We start from the raw sequence: 27,795 nt of genomic DNA on the forward strand, positions 1-27,795 counted from the left end.
AGCCATTCCCATGAAAAGACTTGAATGTCCCACTGTCTCTTCCCATAGGATGAGTTCTTGAAAGGCTATAAAATGATGCATCAAATCATTCCCAGCCTGGCCCTGCTCTTTGCCTCAATGCTGGTGTGAACACTGATCTGTTGTCAAGCAGAAGCACCAACCACCTCAAGGAAATATTAAATCAAAAGACAAATGTGAAGGAAAAATCACTCCACAGTCTGCACACAAATATATTTTGTTTTGCTTATTCACTTGTTTATCTACTTTAAAAAATATATGAATGTACTGAATTTCCTTCACTCATATGTGATCCCAAAAGATTATCTGGTTCAGTCACCTGTTGATGGGAAAATGTTAAGGCATTATTTATTATTGTTATTATTATTATTACTACTAATTTCTAAAAAAGAAGCAACTGACTTTCTGATACAAGTCATAATTTACAAGTATTCAAATATCTAAAGAAATGGAGACAAAAAGCTCACAGAAAATTAAAAGGGCTATGAAGCCAGCTGAACGCTGAAGCCAGCAGCTTTACAGTTCTGTCTCCCCATGGCTCTCATATTGCTGCCTTTCTTACTCTTTTATTTATTTCTCCCTTTCTTGTTCTTTCTCATTTATCTTCCTTTTTCTTTATTTATGACATTTTCCCATTGCTTATTGCATCTTCCCAGGTATTTCCAATTTTCCTTCTTTTATTTTTCAATGGATGGGCAGTCATAGCTTAGCAGTATCAGATAAGTGAGGGAAAGAAGGAAGCAAGCAAGGGGGGAGATAAAGTGGTGGGTGTGTGCACGCAAATGTGTGGCTGCGTCCATTGTGAGTTGAGTGGGAGGTAAGGATGGAGCTGGGATACATGTTTCCTGTATAGAAATTTACCTCTAATACACACATATATATATATATATACACATATATATATACACACACATATATGTGTATATATATATATATATATATATATAATTATTTTTTTATTGGTTAGGATGTTTTTGTGGGGAGGGGAGACTTTGGAAGGTCACTAAATGAAATTGTCTCCAAAAGTACTGAATTGCTACTAGCTCCTTTGGAATGCCTTCTTATTAACTATTATTATTTTATTATTATTATTAAGCCAACTCTTCCAATTCTTGTTGGAAAAACAGCCAATAGAAAACAGAACCATCTCCATCTCATACATGGAGAAGGTAAGCTGAAAGGAGTTTCAGCGACTTCCCTGTGGAATGTGACTGTTAGTCAACAGTGGTTTCTTCCTCTCCCTTAGCGTAGATCACTAGCAGCTTCATGCCTAAACTAGGGTGCATACAGGCTCTTAGACACGTATTTATATCCATACTCTTCATTGATTAAAGAGCAAGATGACTGTCTCAGGCTGAAACTGATGAGATGCCTATTCTGAATAGAGTTAGTCTAGGATACATTTATTTTAAGATCAAAACATGCATTTGGTAAATCATTTAAAAAGAAGGATGTCAGGCTGTGAGCATGAGTTAAGACTGACGCACTTTCAAACAACATTTAACCAGGATAGTTGAATAGCTGGCAGCATTGGGATTTTGTTGGTTTGCCACTTCTCTTAAGAAAATAAAAACATCCCCAAATCAGTTATTGATTCCAATAAGAATTACTGGGATTTAATATGTGCATACATTATTTTTTTTTCTTTTTTTGAGGAGTTTTGCTCTTGTTGCCCAGGTTGGAGTGCAATGGCACTGTCTCAGCTCACTGCAACTTCCGCCTCCCGGTTCAAGTGATGCTCCTGCCTCAGTTTCCCAAGTAGCTGGGATTACAGGTGTCCACCACCATGCCTGGCTAATTTTTGTATGTTTAGTAGAGATGGAGTTTCACCATGTTGGCCGGGCTAGTCTCGAACTCCTGACCTCAGGTGACCCACCCACCTCGGCCTGCCAAAGTGCTGGGATTACAGGCATGAGCCACCATGCCCAGCCTGTGTATACATTTTTTAATGACTAAAGATATAAGTATATCAAGTTTTGCACTTAAAAAATTAATCAGATACCTTTTCTGGGAATTTTTAAAGCACAAGCTAATGAGTAATGTCTTCAAGGTAAAAACTATTTTAGTTTTGGGAAATCTGTATTTTGTAAAGAAAAAATATTTGAAGGGAATAAAAGGATCTACATTAGATAGATAGCTTGAAATGCATTTACAGAATGCAAATTTAAAAAGAACAAAACCATATGGGTAACCAAAATAGAAATTTAGCTCCCTTGCAGACAAGGTCAGTTAATCAGTAAATGACTTTGTGCTATAAACAATGCTCAGTAGTACCTTTTAGATCCTAGTGTTGCTTTACCCACACATTTCCAGAGGTCACTAATTCTTTTCTTTACTTTTATATGAATATTTTTATTACGTAGAAACAGAATCACCAAGGACAAATAAGGTAGATACATTATTTTAATAGGCAATGGGTGTTAAGATAGAATTCACTGATAATGAAGTGAGATTGCAATGCAGCAAAAATTACAAGCTCTGGAGACAAAATATACTTTGAGATATCATCTGGTCAACTCCCAAGTAATATTAAACCGAAACCAAACAGTAAATTTGTAAGTGTAGCTTCTTTCCAGTGCTGTTCAAAACCCCAAACAACCTTGAACTTCAGTATCTCCATCTGTATTATGTAATAGCATTTAAAAGTAATTCAGGCTGAGCATGGTGGCTCACCCCTGTTATCCCAACACTTTGGGAAGCAGAGGCAAGGGGATGACTTGAGCCTAAGAGTTTGAAACCAGCCTGGGCAATGTAGGGAGAGACCTAGTCTCAATAAAAAGTAAAAAGTAATTCATATTCATTAAGATAATACAAAATGTGATGAAGCTCAAATAATAAAGCTATTCACAGAATAAGATTACAAAGATATTTGTGGAGTAATATCTACTATGTTCTACAACATTAAGATGGCTAATATAACAAAGAAACCAGAGGAACAAAAATAATTTGTATATTAAAATGTTTATGCTGTCAACCTGTGGTGCAAAGTAAAATTGAAGTAATCAGAAAGTATAATAATGTATTTATAACAGATATCTGACTATGTCTACCTGCTAATCTATATATTTGCATATTCTTAATATCAATTATTATTATCAACATCAATATTATCAATTATCAATATCAGTATTCTATCAGTATATGTTCTCCCCACCACTATTCAGGGAGTATCTGACAGTGTTGGCCAATCATTTCAGCTGACAGCTTGTGAAGGGATAGAGTATGTGGCAAACACAAATAGTATGCATTTACAGGAAAAACTAAGTAATATACAGAATTTAAAGATGCCTTATCCTGCAGGTCATTTTTAATACATATACTTTTTTCAGATAGAAGAGCATTCTTTTTTTTTTTTGAGATGGAGTTTTGCTCTTGTTGCCCAGGCTGGAGTGCAATGGCATGATCTCGGCCCATTGCAACCTCTGCCTCAGCCTCCTGAGTAGCTGGGATTACAGGCACGTGCCACCATGCCCAGCTAATTTTTTGTATTTTTATTAGAGATGGGGTTTCATCATATTGGCCAGGCTGATCTCAAACTCCTGACCACAGGTGATCCACCTGCCTCGGCCTCCCAAAGTACAGGGATTACAGGGGTGAGCCACTGCGCCCGGCTGGGAAGACCGTTCTTCGCACCACAAAGGCAAGGGATTCTCCTGGAAATCAGAAATGTTGAAACTGGGCTTCCAGGGCTGGTGGTTTTGCGTTGAACACAATCAATCTTCCAAGTTCCACTCATGTTTGAACTCCACACTGTTGACTGTTCTCTTGCAATAGCAGAAAAGGATGGGTTCTTTTAGAAGGATAAACTGATATAACGTCATGGCCACACAACTGATGCTGTCTTAGTCACCATATCCAGACTGGCAGATGTTCAATTTATTGGTCCACTTAAAATTTTAGTTAAAGTGAGAAACTGTGAAGTGATACATACATAACATAGATATTTTATATCAATTTGAAACATTTAATTATATATGCACTGGCCAATTTTGATGTGAGACCAAGCTCTTTTCTTTAAGTAGGGATTGAATGATTGGTGTTCTCCTTCACTTCACTCATACTTTCTATTCTGTTTGGTACTAGAAATATATTAGAAAAAAATAAGAAAAACAAATGATTTACCAATCTGAGTTGCAGACTAATCAGAGACCTGCCTTCATTTTAACTTGCTGTAACTCCCTTATATTAAAGGAGAAGTAGCAAGAAAGTTATGGTGATTTGTTTCTAGTTAGTATTCATTATGGAAGCCCAAGAGGGAAAACAAACAAACAAACAACAAAAAAAAAAAACTGACAAAACCATAAGAAATGTCATCTCTCATATTCTAATTGCCTACCACATAGTAGACCAGTAGGACATTTGATGTTGGGTGTTCAGAATTTTACATGATATTTTAGAATCTTAAATATGACAACATATTGAAAACTTGAGTAGGATCAATAACATATGTTAGGCTATAGTTTGCCTTCTTGGGAGGTACATTTTATTTACTCAGAGCTTGAGATCATACATGGGAAAGTTGCTAAATGACATAACTTACCAATTGCTTCACCCTCTTTATTGTAATACTTATACTCCAAGAATGTTCAACTTGCAACCAAGGGGTAATTTATTTGCCATACAGAAAGTAAATATTTATTGTAGCTTTACTAACCAGAAGAGATGGTCTGGTCTGTTGGCAATCTATCTGCCACATTTTTTTTTGTTTTTTTTTACTTTAAGTTCTGGATACATGTGCTGAACATGCAGGTTTGTTGCATAGGTATACATGTGTCATGGTGGTTTGCTGCACCTATCAACCCGTCATCAAGGTTTTAAGCCCCGCATGCATTAGGTATTTGTTCTAATGCTCTCCCTCCCCTTGCACTCCACCCCCCAACAGGCCTTGGTATGTGATGGTCCCCTCCCTGAGTCCATGTGTTCTCATTGTTCAGCTCCCACTTATGAGTGAGAACATGCAGTGTTTGGTTTTCTGTTCTTGTGTGAGTTTGCTGAGAATGATGGCTTCCAGCTTCATCCATATCCCTGCAAAGGACATGAACTCATTCTTTTTTATGGCTGCGTATCTGTCACACTTTAAATGGTATTTGGGTGATAGTGACTGAACCCTATTCTTCATGGCAAATTTAATATGTCAAACCACCATTGTGGTAGAGACCCCTGAAGATGTTTAAAATCTCTATAAAGATCAGATAGGGCGCAGACTAACAACTAGAGCCTACAGATCTATGGCATTTAGAGACTGTATTTTCTTTCCCAAGAAGTTTGTTTCCAAATGGTTGCATTGAGTGGACCCAGTGCCTTTACACTTCCCCATTCCATTGCAAATTGATACAACACCATAGTTCCCTGTCTCAAATAACCTTCCAGCTTTTAAGTGACCACTCATATTTAAGGTTGGCTGAGAGAAGAAAGTAAAACCTCCATGGTCTGGTAATCATGGCCTGTCATTTGTGACATGTTCCCCTTGGGCTGGATCATACATCTGTTTTTTATTTTTTATTTTTTTGAACCGGAGTCTCACTCTGTTGCCCAGGCTGGAGTGCAATGGTGCGATTTTGGCTCACTGCAACCTCCGCCTCCCAGGTTCAAGCGATTGTCCTGCCTCAGCCTCCTAAGTAGCTGGGATTACAGGTGCCCGCCACTGCGCTCATCTAATTTTTGTATTTTTATTAAAGACGAGTTTTTGCCATGTTGGCCAGGCTGGTCTCGAACTCCTGAGCTCAGGTGATCCGCCTGCCTTGGCCTCCCAAATTGCTGGGATTACTGGCGTGAGCCACTGCGCCCGGCCACAAGATGCAACCACAGTTTTGAAATTCAATGAAAACTTAAAAGTTACTAGTTGAAGTTAACCTCAGGTTTGGTAAAGGTATTAACTGTTCTGTTCTATATCCTCATTTTCTTTTTGTATTTTTTCTCCAGCAAACAGATTATTTTTATGTATATTTTAAGAATAACCAACTGAGAATGGAATTGGAAAATATTTCTGCTTCTGAAATACTGTCAAGATCAAAAGCACTGTGTTGAGTTTTTTCTTAAATGAGAAATTTTACACACTTCTATACTTCATATTAGGAAGGGAACAAGGTCAAAGAATTTTTCTACTTAACTGAACACTTTGATCTTTGGTCAAAAATATCTAAAATCTAAAAAAATTTTCTGATAAATGCTAGACCTGTAGCAGCACTAAGATCACTGGTTTATATTAGATTTGATTTTACTGCAGCTTAGCTATTGCAATTTAAAGCTGAGCTTTTAGTTTTTTTGTTTGTATTAAAAATCTTATAGTTTGTTCACCCAAGAGCTCTTATATTATTATATGGCAGTTATATTTTGATATGTTTTTCCCAGAATCTAATGACACTGATGGTTTCATTTAAAAGCTGTAAAAATTATACTAAATTAACCATATAAAAATATACTTCAAATTTCCATTAGCAGCATAAAGCTGCTACAATGTACAACTCTAAAACTGTTTCAGTTTAAAGCATTCTTTATATATATATAAAAAGGATATTTAAAACACTAAAATTACTTTAGAGCTTTAAAAAATATATTATTTTGTAGGCTATATCCTTAGAGATTCTGATACACTTGATCTGAATTGGACCCAGACACCCCAATTGTTTAAAATCTTCCCTCAGATAATTTTTATGTGCACTGCAGACATTAGTATAATATAGTGACTGGCATGAAAATCAATATTTCCCAAAATATATTCCATAAAACACAAGTCTTTTGAGATGATTTGCAAAGAAAAGTTTCATAAGGAAGTATGTAAGGGATTCTCTGTATATTTTCCTTTCTTGAGTTTTAACATTTCTAAATATGAAGACTCTGGGAAGTCCTGCAGAGGGGGAAATTAAAAAAAAGAAACTTTATCTTGTTTTAACCTATAGTATTTCACATGTATTTCATTCTGGACAACTTTTGATCATGTGCAATCTCTAATTAGGCCATGAAGCCTATTTTTCCAAGAATGTTGTATGAGGCCATTCTTGAATTGCTGTAAGAAATAACTGAGACTGGATAATTTATAAGAAAAGAGGTTTAATTGGCTCATGGTCCTGCAGGCTATACAGGAAGCATAGCAGCATCTGCTTCTAAGGAGGCCTCAGGGAGCTTTTACTCATGGCAGAAAGTGAACCAGGAGCAGGCAGTTCACATGGTGAAAGCAGGAGCAAGAGAGAGAGAGAGAGTGGGGGATGGAGTGGAAGGTGCCACACACTTTTAAATAACTACATTTTTCTTTTGAGAACTCACTATCATGGAAACAGCACCAAGTTGTCAGATATCTGCGCCCATTATTGGAACACTTCCCTCTCAGTCCCCACCTCCAACATTGGGGATTGCAATTCAGCATGTGATCTGGGCAGAGACAAATATACAAACTATATCAAATGTCTTTGAGAAATGCTACTAAATGAAATTTGACAGGATTTAAAGTGTTATTCACATTACTACCAATTTTTAATGCAATATAATGCTTTTGAGAATGTGCAACATTCAAAACTGAAAATTAATTTTTGGTTTAGGCCTGTGAATGAAATATTGGTATTACCTAACATGGCATTCAGAAATGAAATACCAAGGATTTACACAATTTTTGTGTGTTCTTTATTGGATGAAATAATTAGAAAGAAAGCAAAAATATGCAAAACAAATGATCTGTTTCAGTTATTTAGGTGGCAATTTATATGAAGCTAAACTACTAAAAGTGCTCTTGTTCAGGCATTATTAAATATCTGCTGAATTAAAATTTGCAAGTAAATGCTTTTTGTTGGTGAGTGATCTTTTTCATATCACAAAACCCCAAAACAGACTGGTATAAAAAACAAATTACAAATGCGATTGTTGCCTTTAATTGTAGAATGAAACCTAACATAGTGCTTAGGGGACAGAAGACTTTTCAAGATTGGTTACTTGGTATTTAATTTAATTTAATATGCTTAAAGCAATTTGAATTACATTTAATTTGTTTTTTCTTCCATTACAAAAAACATTAGAGCAGTCTGGATATAGGGGTACAGATAGGGTCAAAATCTAAGAAAGGATGCATTTCCATAGTATTGGAAATGTTATTTTTTAAGGGCAAAGTAGTGTTTGTTTTACATTACTGAAAAGAGGAGAAAGAAGGGTGAGAGATGATTTACTAACCAGCATTTTTTTAAGTCATACGGGCTAGCCAGTAAGCTAGGCATATTATGTACATTATCCCATTTATTACAAGAGATTGTCTTCAAATCTTCTTATACTTTCAGAAAAGACAGTCTGTTTTTTTGGCATGAAAAAAATTGTGATAATTAACTCTTACATACTATATGAATATTCACACCATATACTCACTTCCCCATGTTTCTTCCTTCGTTCATCCCTTCCTCTCTTGTTCCTATTTTTCCTTCCTTTTTGGAAAATAGCCCTGTGCAATTCACTCAGTAAGTTTCCTTGAAAATGTCTGCAAGTGAATAAAGAACTACGCTTCCACAAGTTCTGTGTGGAAAGAGAATTCCCTTGCATTTGTTTCCCACTGAGCATCAGTCTTCTCCCTGAGCTTCTGTTGCACATTAGTTTATTGTTGCACCTTACTCCTAAATGCATGTGAAGAGCACTTTACCTTAAATGATAATAAATTGCCATAGTAGGACTGTCAGAAGCAGTCGGTTTCTCCCACCCCCATATTTAATGATGCAAGGCAAAAAAAACTTTATATGCTTGGTTTCAAGTATGTAGATGATCTCAAATTGTGCACTTGGGTTGCTTTTCATATTTGTTTCACCTTGGTTTGTTCGTGGCACTGTCACCTGTGTACCAATTAGTACACTGGACATCTGCCAAGAAGGAGCTGAAATAAAACCATCAGCTCATTTTTTCTTGGCACCAAGGTCACTGCTAAGCTGTATTTAACCTGGAGCTAGAGGCTAAAGACATTGTTTAGTGAAGGAGTAGTAAAATGCAGAAGCCTTATAATAAAGAGAGAATGTGCAGACACTTATTAAAATTTTTCACTCTTCTCATGGAAAATAGTGGAAACCTATGATAAATATTTCAGAATTATGGCAACCACTATAGCATACAAAGTACACATTATAGATTTTTCCAGCATAATTAAACCCACCACTCACATTAGGAAGCTGCTTATATCACTCTGTTGTTCCTTATAGTCAAATAAATGAGGACACCCATGTCATATGGCTGGAGATGGTGTGCTTACTTGGTGGAAACTGGGTTGAGAAAGAAGGTACTAGTTAGGGTTGATAATATTCAAATGAAAAAGGCCAGGATCAGTCATGGTGATACTGAAGCTTAAAGCAAAAGCAAAAATCAGTAATAGTGATCCCATCTTAATTCTGACATTTTGCTCATTATGAATTTTCTATGATAACTAGTTTTTTAATGTTATAAAAATATTATTTATCTTGATTACTGAGTATTTTGGTGCTAGTTAAATTTTGTACTATCCTAGCTCTAGCTTTACAAGCTAACATAAACTAAGAGCAAAAGATGCCTGAAAATTATAGTGAAACAAAAATCACCATATTGACCCATATTTCACAGAAATAAATAGTGGATCTCCACATTTCATCATTACTAGCTTTTAAGATTTTTTTAAATAATCATAAGTTTGGGCAGTGTAGTTATTAGCATCATGGAAGTCAGTAATAGGTTGACTTATAAACAAAATTACATGAAGAGAGGGATGAAAGACAAAAAGAAGAGATTTTTTTTATATTTAAACAGGAGCTCATATCTTAGGCGGATTCCTCTCACTTGTTAGTCCACTCTATTTGTAAATTGGGGAGACATTTTCATCGTTTCTATTTTAAAGAAGGGAGAAAGCTTAAGTTCTGGCAGAAGGGAAGACATTGGTAAAAATGGAGACTGACTATGGAAGGAATTAATTGATTCTTTTCATCTTCGTTAGAATCAAAATGAATGGAAAAATAATCTGATTTACACGAACTCTTGCTTGCTCAGACATCTAGCTATGAAATAAGGACTCAGCCTTAGCTGAACTCTGAGCTCCCATATCAGAGTTTCAAATGCTGTTTTACCCCCTTGTAATTGTTAATATATTCCTAGTGTTAATATGTTTCTAGGTTCCAAGAAAAGGGAAAACCCTCCTGTGGTCAGCTTGTCATTTGGCTTTCCTGTAACTGCCAACTTAAAAATAAATAGACAAACAAATGTAGTCCATTTAATTTAAAATGTTATATTTATTAAAATGTTCAAATATATTTTTCTCATCTGAATCACTTTACAAAACCTAAGTAGACATATCCACAGGAAAAGACGTATTATCTTGATATTCATCAGGGATTATGCACTTTATCCTCTTTTTGAAATTGCTTTCTTGAATGACATCAACATGACACATTTTCTCTTTTTGGTTAGCTCCTCTGCAAATGAATTATTGGCTGATACATAATTACCAGCAAAGGTGCACATATGTGTGAGCATCTGTGTGTATGTGTGTACATATGTGCTTGTCTGCATATGTGTGTGTATGTGTGTCTAAGTATTGTACTTACCTAGAATGACCTTGCTTATATTGGGATTAGAAATTGGAGATTCATATGCTTGTTTATTCCCTCATTAGACAGTAGATTACTAATGGATAAGAATTGTGTCTTAATTTTCATTGTATCCATGGCTCTTAATTAGTTTGGTGCCTGCCATATATTATTGTTTAAGATGAACTCATCTCAAAAATGATGCCTTGCTGCTACTCTTCCTGTATTGCGGATCCTCTAATAGTGGAGAGTTACTTGCAAGCAGTGAGCCTGGAAAAAGGTGGCAATATACAGGAAGAGCAAAATAAGGCTCGGAAAAAAGGGCAAAAGACAATTCTTTTGGCAACCGTCTCGGAGCTTGGATGTAAGCTGGAGGAAGTTCAGAGCAGGTGGAAACCAACTCAACTTGAAAAAGCTACACTGCAGAAGAGACACTTGAGCTAGGTCTTCAAGCACACTAATCCTCACATGTCCTTATATTCCTCTCCCCATCTACACCACCATCTCAACTTTGGGACTATTTGTCAAAACACTTTTCAAGTTCCCCTGCTTTCAGAACATCCTCCCTGATAACATAAGTCAATATTTATTTTCTATTTTCTTAACAGATGATACTCCTTACTCTTTATAGCATAAATGATTGCACCTGACTCTGCTCAGTTCATGTCTTCTTTGCCATCTTCCTCATTTCATGGTTTGTCTCCTTATTAAGATCACAAGGTCCTGGTGGATAGAAAATATATATTATTTCTGTACTCATCACAGTGACTTGGCAGTCTTGAAAGTAAAAAAATTTAAGAAGGTGTAGCATTAAACTAGTTGTAAGTTATTATGTTTTTCCTTTGCACTAAAGTTGCTAGATATTTAGGCTTCTAGGAATGAGGAGAATGTTGTAATTTGAAAGGTACACATATCATTTATGCAAATTAAACTGTATCAGAGTCCCAACTGAAAAAGATGACACACTCAACAAAGGGGGCTTCTCTCCAAAGGGATTACTTACTAAAGTGTAATAATAATGATTCTAATAATAGTGAAGGAGATTTTCCAGTCTAAGAGACAATGGTAGAACTCTGAATAAGAGTTCCCTGTAGAAAAGTCTTCTAAAGAGTAGTGAGTTTTGGTCAAAATACAGAGCCAGGCATAGATAATCCCAGAGCAAGGGAGTCAGGGAAGTACATACAGATAGTATCGAGAACTGTTTACCTAACAAAAAGCTTTCTCAGATAATTAAAAAGAAAAAAAAAAAGAAAGCCTTAATGGAAACAAATTAGTTTTAATGCTCAGGATGTTGTAAACCATCAAGGGTCATCCCTACCTGAGTTTCAATATGCTTTAGGTCTAGCTTGTAGACATATTAAAGAACAATAAGTAATGAATGGAGCCAAATAATTCCAATTCACTAATCATTTAGCCAAGAAATATCTTGGGTTTTACTTAATTCAGCTTAACTGACTATACTTCCAGGTCTGATTTTGAAGTTAAAGGTTTAAGTCTTGCTTCCTTGAGGTATTCTGAGTGGGCTTAGGTTTTTTCAATATCTAAAATACTGAGTTTGCTAACTTTGAGGTGTTTGCAGAGTCTACCATAGAGAAACACAGTGATCTTGATTTAAACTTGCTTTCAACTACAAAACCTTCAGTAAATAACTGGATTTATATGGGTTTTCTTTTGTTTTGTTTTTTTTAATTTGTGGTGTGTGTATGTATGTGTGTAAACATGTTCCTCCCCATCAGATAAGATTAAGAAAGACTGCACATATCTGTTCCCTCTTTGGTGGCTTTCTTACATTATATTTAACAAAATATTCTATCACGTCTTATTGGGTAATGAGAATCTTATTCAAGGAATGTTGCCTTTAGTTTAGCAATATGCCTGTTGAATTGTCAATCTGTATTTGGACTTTAGCCAAATTTAGGTTGGTAATTACATATGAATCAGACAAGATGCCCCCAAACAGCGACTGGTTTACCGACTTCTAATACTGCTGCATAAACCCATGGGTGTTCATTAAGTGTTAATTAATGATGGAATGCTAGGTTGAATTGACTTGTGGATTCTGGCTGATTACTCTTTAATTTAAAATTATGAAATGCACAGCATCAATCTATCAGCAGGAAAGATCAAATTTTAATTTAATGAGGGTGTCTAGAAAATTGTAGAGCTATAGGAATTCAAAGAATTAGTTATTTGTACTAGATATGAAAGATCATGTTACAGGATCCTTGGGGTGTCCCTTTTCTGGCCTGAAACCTCTGGCCAGTGGCACCTTTGCCTGAGTGTTGCTCAGGCCCGCTGGGCTTTTTCCTCCTACTTGGCCTGGCAGGCTACATTCGGCTGACACTACTGGCCTGGATCCCACGCCTGCCAAGGGAGAGTCAGGCATGGAGTGTGTGAGTGAGCATGGGGTCCGGCCACTGCATAGTCAGACACACTGGCTGCTGCAACGGGACCTGCAGCTCCAGGTGCCGGCACAGGCACTGGCTCTCAGCCAGGCTGCGGCTAGACCAGGTGCACTGCAAGCAGCTTCACTGGCTGGCACCGGGGAACGCAGTGGTGCCCAGAAGCTTGAAAACGTCAGGTACCACAGGACCCCAAAGAGGGAGTCACAGCCCTGGCCTGGGGAACTCCCAAGTCTGAGCTCCCTGAGGGACCACGGTTCTTTTCTCCTCTTTGCCTGCAACGTGGAGAGCTAAGGGGCATGTTTCAGCCCTGTGTTGTAGCTCTTTTAGCTCTGCCATTCAGCAGGCTCCAAGTTCTTGTCCTGCGACCAAGAACTCAGACAAGTGGAGGGCAAGCAAAATGAAGAGGAGCTTTGTTGAGCAATAGAACAGTTCACAATAGACCCACAGCGGGTAGCTCCTTTCCACAGTCAGGGTGTCCCAACGAGTGTTCAGCTCCTAGCAGAGAGGAGAACCTGGAGTGGGAAGCTCCTCTCTGTAGACAGGTCGTCCCGTCATGTCTGCAGTTCTCAGCAGACAGGAGGCCCTGGAGTGTGTTGCTCCTCTCTGCAGCTGTTCGCCCTACAACTCCTGCTATTAGCAGAGAGAGTAGCTCCTCTCTGCAGGCAGGTCAACCCATCATCTGCTCAGCTCTGGCTGAGCCCAAGGGTTTCATGGGCCTCAGAGGGTTGGAAGTGCACACAACTGGTCCGTGGGCTGCCATGGGCAGCCCAGAAAAGGCTTCACAAGTTCCCACTCCTGTCCCTCGGTGAGACTGGCTACCTGGCCCCCAGCCTTCAGGTCATCCCCGGCCTGAAGGTGGGGCCTCACCCGAGACCCACCCCCTCCCATCCAGGAATCTGTCTGCCTCCCACTGGCTTTCATGGTGCCCTGCTCCACCCTGACTTTGCTCTGAGATCGGAGTGGACACTGGCAGGAGGGAGAAGCTAGGCAGCAGGGGCAGGCATTTCCGAGCCTGTGAGGGCAGGAGGGCCTTCCTGGGTCCTCAAGAGTACAGGAATGCCTGAGTCTGCAGCTGCAGTTTGGATGGCTGCAGCTGCACCTGCACCCAGGAGGGCGGGGCTCCTGCCTGCTCCACAGAGCAAGAGGCCTGGGTCTGCAGCCTGGTTTGGGTGGCTGCAGTGAAATCTGGGGAGCTCCCGCCCTAACTCGAATGGGGTGGGGCTCCCACTTGTACCGGGCTCCACTTGTCCCTGGCTCCTGCCGGCTTGTGCAGCTCTGGCAGTGCCTCCCTGCTACAACCTGCATGATGGCAGTGGCAGGCTGTCTGGAGCGGCCACTGCCATCAATAATACATAACCAAAAAAAAGAAAAAAAAAATTAAAACAATGAAAAAGTCCTGGCAACATTTTCTAGACACTCTAGCTTGCCTTTGTTTCTGTTTAATTTTAAAGAGTTTTAATTTAAATCAATTTTCTCAATTTCATGTAAAAAATGGGTGACTTTTAAAAGTTTTATCGTATTTGCTGATAAGTGGATGCTTATGAGAACATTGAAGACATTGTGCCTTATTTTGCTAAGGACAGTCACCATTTTTTAAGGTTTGGGAAGTCATTGAAGACTATTTTGAGAGGTGGAAAGGAGTTCCTGAAATGGTTTAAGATTTTTCAGCTTTGTGATGATTCCCTAAATTATTCTCATTTGTTGTAATTTTTAAACATAAGACTACAACAATATGCTTTTAGCCACCTGCAAATGATTATTGGGAGTCACAGTTTTAAGGAGGAAATTCAGATTTTTATCCACTTACTTAATATTATCTAAAATTAGCATACAAGCATTTGTATTAAGAAGCAGATACAGGTTAACATTCTTTATAAGAACTTCTATGTCTACAGTCAGTTTGGGAATAACTTGTGGCCTTCTGGCCTCCACTCCTTTTGTAGGGTCTTAAAATTACTTGTAATTAGAATAGGTGAGTCCCATTACAATTAGGTGAGACCCCCTAATTCTAGAAACAGATTGAAGAATTAACAGGGTGAGCATTATTTTCAACATATGTTGAAGGAAGAGTTTACTTGATGAAATCATAGTTGATTTGAAATATGTTTATATCAAATGAGTTAAGAAAATATCCCCAAGTATCCTTAGCTGTGGAAGTGATAATGGTCCTGAAATACCAATATTTTTCTCCATATTAGATTTTTGAAACATTATACAAATGATGTATGTTCTATGAAGCAGCGTGCCTTTATCTAAATGGTGGAGTTTAAATTCCAGGCCCATAAGAAAAATTTCACATCCTGCTCTCCCACACATATACACTGGAGCTCACAAAATCCAGAAAATTCAGACATAAACTGTGGGAGAAAAAGCACAATGGACGGTTAAGCTGTTGTGATTGCAAACCAATTGTAATTGCTTAAGATAAAAAAAATTTAAACCCAAATTAGAGTTTTTCTTATTTTTACACTACTACAATAATCAGTAGCTGTCATTTGCTGGGTGGAATAATTTAGTTTTGTGCTATCATAGTATTTTATTTCAAAATATCACTTCTTTTGTGTATACCCAAACACATTCTCTAAAATTGCTGCTATGTAAAATTGGGTAATTAGCATCCATAGCAGTTAACACTAAGAGATACTGTATGAAGAAAGTTGTTCCAATTAAATAACGTTGCCAATAATCTCTTATTCAGTAAATATTAAAACTTGTTTTAAAATAAAAATAGTAAAATTTAACTTTGAAAATGATTTATGAGTTTAACCACCTTCCTTCCTTATTTTGCCCCCAGGTAGAGTTGTAAAGAAAACTGCTCAATGCTATTTTTTTTTCTTTCAATAATTCTTTTCTAGATGTTTTCTGTATTTGTAAAGTAACATACTTTGGGGTGAAAGCGATTATATGGATTGTCGAACCTTATTAAAGATCCTGAGAAGAGTGAAAAATTTTTTGCATAGCTTTAAAAAATTATGGATGAGTCTTTAAACCTCATCTCTCCTACATTATCAATTTTTCCCTCTCCAATGAATAATTCCCATGAACATATAAACATTCCTTAATATTTCTCATTTTAAACCTCCTTGTACCACAACTCACCCATCCAGCCATTGCTGCCCCCATTTCTCTACTCCTTAATACATTAAAATGCCTGAAAGATTTGTTTAGACTGGCCTTTTCTGTTTGCTTCCCTCTGTAATCTTATGAACACATTCCAGGCAGAATTTCATTTGTGCTGATCTGTTGGATTGAAACAGCTCCTGTAAAGTTGTTCAAAAAACTTCCTCATTCCCTAATCCAGTTACCTACATCTAGTTGCCTAATCTAATGACCTCCATTTTCCCTAATCTTGTAGTCTATATTCACACACTTTTCATCTTATTTGACTTGTCAACAGCATTTGACTTGATGATCTCCATTTTTATTCAGCCTCTCTTGTTTCTTTCTTTGCCTTACTAAATTTTCTTCACCATAGCTACAGTATTACCTGGGGATCTCATTTAGGTCCCTGTCTTTAAATATCATCTCATTGGTGACTTCCAAATGTATGCCTTTGGTCTAGACCTCTCCCGTAAACTCCAGCCTTTGTTTTATTCACTGCTGTATCCTCAGAACTAGAATAGTGACTGGCATAACAACAGGTGTTCAATAAATGTGTTGAATAAATGAATGAATGCTCTGCTTTACCTCCTAGGGTTCTTGTAAAAACCAAATGAATCAAAGGATATAAAAGTAATTTGTAAACTGTAGATCACCCAGCAAGTGTCATCTGATATTATGAGTCTTGCAGATTTGTAATATTAATAAACAATAAAATGAGTAAGTTCTGAGGGAATTTTTAAAATGGATTTGAACATTTTAATCCAGATTTCAAAAGTGGCACGTCTCTCTGAATTCAATGTCCTATTTAACTCATCAAACTCTAGGCATCAGGGAAAGAGGTATAATGAATCTGTATTCCAATGCAAAGAGAAATACCTTAATGTTTGCTTTGATATAAGTATGGTATCTTCAATACATGAAGCTCACAAATTTGCCAGACTCAGTCATCTCAACATGAATGACATGTCCTTGCAGAACTAGTTGCAGGGTTAATCATTTACAATGCAAATAGGCATTTAGATAAGTTATATGATCCATAGCTTTAAAGCTTAGTACTTTCTGGCTGAATGGCTGTCACTGAAGGAATAAGACATGAATACAAGCTAATAGGATGAGTGTGGTTGAAATACATGAATTCTAAAATTTATAGCCTCTACCTGCTATAGCGAATTATCTTATAAGAGTAGTGGTTCTCAAACTTTATGATGCATCGGGATCACCCAGCAGGCATCTTAAAAGCACAGATTGCAGGGTCCCATTGCCATTTTGATTCAGTTAGTGTGGAATGAGGTCCAAGAATTCCCATTTCTAACAAGTTTCCGGGTGCTGCCGAGGTTATTTGCTGTCATCTTAGACGTATACACTGAAGTTTTCATCACATTTTAAGTAACCCTGCAATAGAGGGTTTATCACCATGTTTATAGGGAATATAAAGTTCAATATAATTTCACATTTCTTCCCCTATGTGAAGAATCTTTGGCCCTTTATCAACTTATTGAGACCTTCTTGTTTTTAACTTTCATGACCATTAGGAATGCCTATACTTCTCACCAATTTTCCTCAGTATTCAAGTCAACCATACCGTTAGAGGACATCCTGATAGAAAATGCCTTTAGTTTTAAGTTCATTTGTAAGTCAACAAACTCCCTGTCTTGCTCCTAAAGAAGTGGTATTCCATTTGCTACCTGTTGTGGATTATTGCACCAGGATTTGCTTTCTCTTGTAATTCTAGTCTGTATCAGCATTGGTGGAGGAACACTGATCTGAACATAAATACCATCTCTCATAGCAGCCTTCCTCCTATGTCAATCAGATATTTTGACATGAATCTCCCAACCTAAACCAAACTAAATTAGAAGAGGATATAAATTCTAGATACTTTAGCTCTGCCAAGAAAATGTTCTACCTTTATTTCTTGGAAGATTCTATCAGAAGAATGTAATTACATACTGTGAAGGAAGTAACTAGATTCTGAATCTCTGACAAAAGTGGAAGTCAGAATATACTGTTGGACTTAAATTGTTAACTTCCCAGTGTAATCTGGGAAACAAGTATTCAAAACATAATACATTATATCATTCTTATCTTTGACATGCTCAGCACAAATAGCACACTTTTGAAGGAATAAGTCCAAGAAATGCGAAAAATAGTGAAATATAAACTTAGCCTATTTGAGATTTTAAAAGTTTCATAAATCACTGAAAAGTAAATGTATCACAATTATACTTTTTTAAAAACATGACCAAAATAAAAGTCAATATTTACTTGAAAGATAAATCAGTCATCACTTTCTTATTTATTTATTTATACTTTAAGTTATGGGATACATGTGCGGAATGTGCAGGTTTGTTACATAGGTATACACGTGCCATGGTGGTTTGCCGCACCCATCAACCTGTCATCTGCATTAGGTATTGCTCTTAATGCTATCCCTCCCCTAGCCCCCCACGCCCCAATAAGCCCCAGTGTGTGATATTCCCCTCCCTGTATTCATGTGTTCTCGTCGTTCAACTCCCACTTATGAGTGAGAACACGTGGTGTTTGATTTTCTGTTCCTGTGTTAGTCTGCTGAGAATGATGGTTTCCAGCTTCATCTAGGTCCCTGCAAAGGAAATGAACTCATCCTTTTTTATGGCTGCATAGTATTCCATGCTGTATATGTGCCACATTTTCTTTATCCAGTCTATCATTGATGGGCATTTGGGTTGGTTCCAAGTCTTTCCTATTGTGAATAGTGCTGCAGTAAACATACGTGTGCATGTGTCTTTATAGCAGAATGATTTATAATCCTTTGGGTATATACCCAGTAATGGGGTTGCTGGGTCAAACGGCATTTCTGGTTCTAGATCCTGGAGGAATCAACACACTGTCTTCCACAACAGTTGAACTAATTTACACTCCCACCAACAGTGTAAAATTGTTCCTATTTCTCTACATCCTCTCTAGCATCTGTTGTTTCCTGACTTTTAATGATCGCCATTCTAACTGGTGTGAGATGGTATCTATTGTGGTTTTGATTTGCATTTCTCTAATGACCAGTGATGATGAGCTTTTTTTCATGTTTGTTGGCCGCATAAATGTCTTCTTTTGAGAAGTGTCTGTTCGTGTCCTTCACCACTTTTTGGTGGGGTTGTTTTTTCTCTTGTAGTTTATTTAAGTTCCTTGTAGCTTCTGGATATTAGCCCTTCATCAGATGGATAGATTGCAAAAATTTTCTCCCATTCTGTAGGTTGCATGTTCACTCTGATGATAGCTTCTTCACCTGGTCCAGAGCTGAGTTCAAGTTCTGAATATCCTTGTTAATTTTCGACCAGGTGAACTTAATACACATCTACAGAACTCTCCATCCCACTAAAGTTGGGGAAAGTAATACTTAAAAAAATAAATAAATAAATAAGAGCTTATAGTTGTATGAGTGAAAATTATTAACTCTGTATTCTAAATGACAATTAAATGACATAAATTTCCAGTATTTTTCTGTAGTCTGTAATAAAATGGATAGTAGAACAGTCTAGTTTTCAACTGATTTGCAGTTGGGAATGAGGAAACAATTCACCCTGGAAGTTATTAACAGCATCTGAGTATTCACTGAAATGTCCTCAGTTCTCTACTGTGAACTTGTCTTGGAAACTAACTCAAATGTCTGTGACAGCAGTTTCCTTTGTGCAACTGCAACTTGTTTAAAAATTTAAATGCAAACAAATAATTCACTGCAATATTTAAATAATTATTTATTGGAGATGATGCACATATCTTCTAAGAAAGACATCACTTCTTTTTTTTATTTTATTATTATTATACTTTAAGTTTTAGGGTACATGTGCACGATGTGCAGGTTAGTTACATATGTATACATGTGCCATATTGGTGTGCTGCACCCATTAACTCGTCATTTAGCAGTAGGTATACCTCCTAATGCTATCCTTCCCCCCTCCCTCCACCCCACAACAGTCCCCAAAGTGTGATGTTCCCCTTCCTGTGTCCATGTGTTCTCATTGTTCAATTCCCACCTATGAGTGAGAACATGCAGTGTTTGGTTTTTTGTCCTTGCAATAGATTACTGAGAATGATGATTTCCAATTTCATCCATGTCCCTACAAAGGACATGAACTCATCATTTTTTATGGCTGCATAGTATTCCATGGTGTATATGTGCCACATTTTCTTAATCCAGTCTATCATTGTTGAACATCTGGGTTGGTTCCAAGTCTTTGCTATTGTGAATAGTGCCGCAATAAACATACGTGTGCATGTGTCTTTATAGCAGCATGATTTATAGTCCTTTGGGTATATACCCAGTAATGGGATGGCTGGGTCAAATGGTATTTCTAGTTCTAGATCCCTGAGGAATCGCCACACTGACTTCCACAATGGTTGAACTAGTTTACAGTCCCACCAACAGTGTAAAAGTGTTCCTATTTCTCCACATCCTCTCCAACATCTGTTGTTTCCTGACTTTTTAATGATTGCCATTCTAACTGGTGTGAGATGGTATCTCACTGTGGTTTTGATTTGCATTTCTCTGATGGCCAGTGATGTTGGCATTTTTTCATGTGTTTTTTGGCTGCATAAATGTCTTCTTTTGAGAAGTGAAGAAAGACATCACTTCTAAGAAACTGTTTGTTTTTTAGTTCACAATTTTATTGACAACTTACATTTATTTTCTTCAAAAGAAAAATAGCAAAAGCCTACTTTGGTGGCTATTTTTGGAACTTTTCACACAATAAGTACAATAAAATGTTTCTTAGAGTATAATTTTTAGAAAAGTAATGCACATAGGAACAACCTTTAATGCACGTAATAGTAGCAATCTTTTTGTCACTAAGAAAGTCCTAGTTACCTGACGTAGTCTGGGCTTTGAGCAACATAGGTCTCATGTCCCAAATCTTCCATTGAGGACACTCAATGGAATAAATACATAGTAGAGCATCCGAGACAATACATTTATTATAAAATGATGCATGGTTAACATCTGGAAATTATAGAAAAGTACAAAAGGAGAGCAAAAAATCTCCCAATCTTAGCAATCAGAGATAGTTATTGTTAAAATTATTGTGTATTTCAATCTAGTATCTTATTTTTCTAACTTTCCACCTATATACAAATTGAGATAATATCATACATAAAATTTATATATCTACTTTTATATAATAAAAACTCATATTAATAAACTTCAAAATCATGTTTTAGTGACTGCATCATAAGGAATATTATCCATATGTCTATAAGCAATGAGCATGTTGGTATCATTTGCTTACTTAGTATACTATTTTTAATATTCCTCTCAAAAAATTAAGAATTATTTTCAAATGTATTTATTAAAAGTATAATTTTTGAAATTATTATTTTGTAATTACTAAAAGTGTCAATGTTTTCATACAGTTAATGGATATTTACATTTCATTTTAGAATTAACTATGCATTATTTTATGTTGATTTCTTTAACCTACCTTTTAATTTTTTATTACACATTTCTTAGTCTATTAAATCCATTAAGCTTTTCTTAATCTAACTTTTAATTTTTGTAAAAGTTGATCATGTCAAGCATCTATTTAAGAGAATCTATTTTATTTTTAAGAAAGAAAAATTTATGTCAAATCCAAATATATAGCATATCTCAACAAAATGTACAAATACCTTCAATTAGATATAAACAAGTAAAATTGAATGATGTGGCCAACTTAGTTAACAAAATCATAAATGGTTGATGTGTCAACAGTAGCACTAAAGCATTGCTACCAACAAGAGTTAACATCTAAAAGTTGTATACTACTTTCCGACATGTGTTATTTAAAATGCGAACAAATCTAGTATCATTTAAAGTAGTAGTATTTAAAGATTACAACTGCATAAGATATTTATGTCCATGCAGAAATGAAGAAAGTAGAATGTGTACTTGTTCACGTAACATGAATATAATGTGATATAATACACACACATATCACATATGGATTGAAGACTGGGAAACTCTCACCACTCCAGTGATAATTAGATCTCAACATTGCTTTTAAAAATTTCACCTCTTGAAAGAATTTTTTATTCGAAATGGTTAAATAGATCATTAAGTCCCGTAAAGGGCTAACGAAGAAAGTGAATCTTGAGCCACATGATTGAAAGTCAAAATTCTGAGTTTATTCATTTATCAAATCATATCTTTGGTAAGTTATTTTTAAGCCCCTTCACTTGCAAGGCAGTGCCAGGCTCTTAGAACTGAGGGGTTATGCATTAGAACAGATGGCACTTTCAGTTAGAAATCACCTATTTTTAGTACAGAGTATCTAGTTCATATCTATAGAAATTATATCTACATAATTGTTTAGCCACACCCTTAGTAATAAGTCTATATTTACACAAAGAATCATACAAAAACTTTTTCTCAATCATGCCCCACCCCTTGCCGTTAAAATGAGGAATGAAGGTCTAGATCCATAGATGAAATTCACAGATGGGATTTTGTATCTGTGATTGGCAGTCTAAATGAGATTCAGGGTCAGACACGCAGCACCACTGGCAGAGATAAAGCATCAAATGAAAAGTCAGGGGATAATGGCCAGTTGTGCATATCATTCTTTTTCCTCTGCTTTCAGGCAGATACACACTGTAGCGGCTGCCACTCACTCTAATTACTAGACCTGGAGTGACACAGCAGGATATTGCTCTCTGAATTGCTAAGCATCCTTCAGGCAAAGACAATAATTACAATATTCTGATTTCAAAATGATAATATTTTGGGCCCGATACTGTGGTATAAGTGGATCAGAATACAAAATTGATTTTTAGAACTGCGCCATGCTAAATGAAGCATCTTTTTATTGTGCCATTTAGTTACTTCTGCCACTTATATGTCATACAGCCATGTATATGCATATTAACGTATGGTATGTTTACATGTGCGGTATGTAATTTTAATGTGCTTTGGTGTGCATATGTGTATCAAGAAAGATAACACTTTTAGAACATCCCTGTTACTATTGACTAATTGTTCTCAAACACTTATTAGATTTAATATCTCTGGGATCGATTAATGTAATATGTACTTTTTGCATAGGTAAGGGTGAGAGACAATTAAATGACATAAATTTAATATTTACAACATTTCTACTTTTGCCTAACACAGTGCTAGTATTTTTATTGCTTTATTTTGTTGAATTCTCACAAAAATTGACTAAGTATATATAATTGTCTCTAAAGCATGATCAAGATGACTAAGTTTCAGACTCCTCCCTTATACCATATACAAAAATCAACTCCAGATGGATTAAAGACTTAAATATAAAACTCAAAATTATAAAAACCCTGGAAGACAACCTAGGCAATACCATTCAGGACATAGACACAGGCAAAGATTTCATGATGAAAATGCCAAAAGCAATTTCAAGAAAAGCAAATATTGACAAATGGGATCTAATTAAACCAAAGAACTTCTGCACAGCAAAAGAAACTACCAACAGAGTGAACAGACAGCCTACAGAATGGGAGAAAATTTTTGCATGCATCTGACAAAGTTCTAATATCTAGCATCTATGAGGAACTTAAACAAATTCACAAGAAAAAAACAGCCCCATTAAAAAGTGGTCAAAGGAAATGAACACACACTTTTCAAAAGAAGACATACATGTGGCAAACAATCATATGAAAAAAAGCTCAACATCATTGATCGTTAGAGAAATGCAAATCAAAACCACAATAAGATACCATCTCACACCAGTCAGAATGGCTATTATTAAAAAGTCAAAAAATAATAATAACAAATGCTGGCAAGGTTGTGGAGAAACAGGAACACTTATACACTGTTGGTGGGCATATAAATTAGTTCAACAATGTGGAAGACAGAGTGTTGATTCCTCAAAGACCTAAAGACAGAAATACCATCTGACCAAGCAATCCCATTATTGGGTATATACCCAAAGGAATATAAGTCATTCTATTATAAAGATACATGCACACATATGTGCATTTCAACATTATTCACAATAGTGAAGACATGGAATCAAACCAAATGCCCATCAAATGACAGACTGGATAAAGAAAATGTGTTACACGTACACCACGGAACACTATGTAGCCATTTAAAAAAAGAACAAGATCATGTTCTTTGCAGGGACATGAATGGAGCTGGAGGCCATTATCCTTAGCAAACTACCACAGGAACAGAAAACCAAATACTGCATGATCTCACTTATAAGTGGGAGCTAAATAGTGAGAACACATAGGCACATAGAGGGGAACAACATGCACTGACTGGGGCCTATCAAAGGGTGGAAGGTGGAAGGAGGGAGAAAATCAGGAAAAATAATGAGTACTAGGCTTAGTACCTGGGTGATGAAATAATCTGTACAACAAATCCCCATGACACAAGTTTATCTGTATAACAAACCTGAACATGTATCCCTGAACTTAAAATAAAAGTTTTTTTAAAAAAAAAGATCACTGAGTTTCCAGAAGTTAAATAACTCCCTGGAAGTCAAACAGCTAGTATAAGATAAAACTGTGATTCTAGCTGGGTTTTCTTTGACTTCGAAATCTATGCTTTTTCAGATACGAGTTGTTTAAAGCAGGGGACCCCAACCCCTGGGCCCCACAGTAGGAGGTGAGCCAGGGGCAAGTGAGCATTACTGCCTGAGCTCCTCCTCCTGTCAGATCAGTGGCAGCATTAGATTCTCACAGGAGCAAACCCTGTTGTGAACTGCACCTGAGAGGGATCTAGGCTGCCCGCTCCTTATGATAGTTGAACTAACGCCTGATGATCTAAGGTGGAACAGTTCCATTCCGAAACCATCCCCCCCCACCACCCCATTTGTGGAAACAATGTCTTCCACAAAACTGGGTCCCTGGTACCAAAAAGGTTGGGGATCACTGATGATCAACCTAGAGTGGAACTAGACATGTAAAAGAATCACTGTTTCCCTAGTAGTGAGATGTTTGCTGTAATATAAGGAGGCTAGTTTTATTTATTCAAAAGATTTGTCAACATATGGAAACCTATTTGATATAGTTTTTTTGAGCCCTTCCTCTGTTCCCATTTAGTTGTATTAAAATGTAATGCACCAATACTAGTTGTTCAACTGGTTGGCTTATAGTTATTGCGCTTCTCTGACTTATCACCTGTTCCAAAAATTTATATCAATGCTAGAATAGTTGTCCTTCTCAACCTAGAGCATTCATATAGAATTCAGAGGTCACTAAACTTTAATGCCTGTAACTTTCAGAACTATGTGTGGACCAGATTGAGTGTGAAATAATAGTGGGTGTGGTGCCTGTTGTAAACTGGAGCCTGTAAACTCCTTATAAAAGTATTTAGATCCACTTACAAACAAACAAACAACATCTTAACCAAACACAACACTCAGATATGAATTAATTCAACCCAAGGGATCAAGTATACAACACTGCATGAAAATTAAATGTTGATAGATATTTGAGTACCTTAGAAGTTAGTATAATATTAACATATTATCAGGATCCAGTTAAATACTATTCTATTTCTTTAATTATTCCTTCTGTGAGCAACACTATTTTCAAAGACAGTGAAGGGGTGCAGGCTCTGATACTTGTCTTCAGAAATACTCCTTTAAACATAAAAGGTATAACGAAACCATGCCTCAAGACCTGTTTCAAGGTCAAATATGGTTATCCCTGTTTTGTAAGTGGGAAAATTAACTCACTGGGGAAACTTAAATGCGCTATAAAAGACTTCTAAGAAATTAAATTACATGCTTTGGAAGTCTAGCACTTCAAAGTTGATATTAGAGATTATAAAGGTTTTAAAGTTCATGAATTGTTCTTTGGGGAAAAATACTAGAGAAACCATCAAGATTTTGCACAGAGGCACTGCGGGGGTTTCCTCAAGCTCACCCTTAGGTGCGAGAGCCATTGGGGGTGTTGATCTGGCCTTCGTGGCTGTCCAGGCATGTCTTCTTCTTTCCTACCTCCTCTTTGTTTGCCCTCCTGAAGTTGTGATCTCGGGGGATGAGGTTCCTCTTCCAGAACAGAGGCATAGAGAAGAACCTCTGGGTCAAAGGCATTGCATGTGGCTCTTTACTCTTTCCTGTAACTCCCATATCCAATCACGATGTCCTGGTGACCTCTGTGTGTGTGCACTATGCAGTTCTCAGACTGTTCCACGCTTGCTTCAAATGAAAGGCCAAACTCTGTGGACCACTTTTCCACCTTCTCTGTCTTTCATTTTGTTTTTGCTGTTTCTCCCTATTCAGCAGCTTCGCGTGAATAGATTGGATTACGAATTGATGCAGGCCTGTGGGTTGTTGCTAGGACAAAAAACCCAGGCTTTGTTTAGAAAATGACATTTGTTCTCCAGCTTTCTCCTGAAAGCATAACAGTCTCTCCTTTTTAAAATTTTTCTTTCCACTCAGAAACCATGGTAAATATTTCATCATTGGGTAGAACTTAGTGCGGGCTGTATTAGGCACAGTCTCTGTTTCAGGGGTTCTTCTGGAGGCTGATCATGAGGAATCTCTGGATGCAACTTCAGCTGCATTGTTACTGTGTTTTCACAGGAGGCGATCGAGATCGGATGACAGCAAATCATGAAAGCTACCTCCTCATGGCAAGCACCCAGAATGATATGGAAGACTGGGTGAAGTCAATCCGCCGAGTCATATGGGGACCTTTCGGAGGAGGTGAGTGTACTTTAAAATCATGGAAAAACAGAAAGGTAGACCAAACCTGTTCATCCCTTTCCCCCAGCGAATGTTACTATTAGCTCCTGTATTCAAGTGGGTGAATGTTAAAATAAATTGTAAATTGTTCAACATTATTGTTAGACGTATGTCTTCGTAAATCCTACAAGTTTAATTTAGATCATGTATAATTATAACGAACCTTCTTCTGTGAATATGTTGAATGATAAAAATGGGTGGGTTTTTTTTTTAGTTTTGGATTTTCCCATATTACCGACAATACACTGTTATGGGACTCATACTGTAAAAGTAGATTAGTTAAGAACATCTAGATATGAAGTAAGAAATTTATGACTAGTGGTTCTGGAAGATATCCCAGCCCCCAAATGCTCAATTGTATCAAAGAGGAATGCCAAAACTTTTGATAATAATCTGATGATTATTGGAGTAAAAACATCCTTCAGATCAGTTAAGTGTTGGTAAATTTGAAAGTAAGTTTTTAAAAGGTTTTAGTTAACACAGTGTTGAGAATGCACCATGTCAAGAACGAGCTAAAAAGGTGCTATGCATAGAACTGAACAAAGGAAGAAAAGATAAAAGATGTGATCTAGGTATGCCAAGAAACAGAAAATAGAATCATATAAACAGAAAAAGTATTCAACGAAAATGAGCAAATGGACCAAAAAAATAAAAGCACAAAATTATTTATCTACAACCACAATATATTTCCAAGAACATAATGCCTAATTTTTATATGGTGATATAGTTTAAAATAAATTGTGTTAGGTCAAATTCACACTTTATAAACAATTACAATCCTTATATTTATTTTCCATTCTTTTGTATATTGTCAACACCCTGAATTGAGATAGTGATTTTTTTTTTTTTCTCTGAACAGATCGGACACTTCTTAGGCTGACTGACCATTTTATATTTTAGAATAACTTCAAAAGCTTAGTTTTAAAAGTTGGTAAGTTGAAGTTAAAATAGTAAAGATTCATTGAAAACATGATATTTTACTAGATTAATGGCACATGTTTGTAATATATCTATGTTTTAATAATATCTTCTGTTAAGGAAAGGGAAGGTTCCTAACCAGGATGACCATTCATTCCAGTT

General features: G+C 36.6%; 1 protein-coding gene across 7 annotated transcripts in view; it reads left to right on the forward strand.

Annotated features, from left to right (window-relative positions):
- Positions 1-27,795, forward strand: part of ARHGAP24 (Rho GTPase activating protein 24) — a 527,517-nt gene that overhangs the window by 421,945 nt on the left and 77,777 nt on the right. For all 7 annotated transcript variants that reach the window (NM_001025616.3, XM_024454238.2, XM_047416235.1 and 4 more), the window contains one exon: positions 26,554-26,676. In NM_001025616.3, the coding sequence (NP_001020787.2) occupies positions 26,554-26,676 (123 nt within the window). The remainder of the gene's footprint in view (positions 1-26,553; positions 26,677-27,795) is intronic.

This window comes from Homo sapiens, chromosome 4, assembly GCF_000001405.40.
Source record: "Homo sapiens chromosome 4, GRCh38.p14 Primary Assembly".
In the NCBI taxonomy this organism is placed as follows: Eukaryota; Metazoa; Chordata; class Mammalia; order Primates; family Hominidae; genus Homo; species Homo sapiens.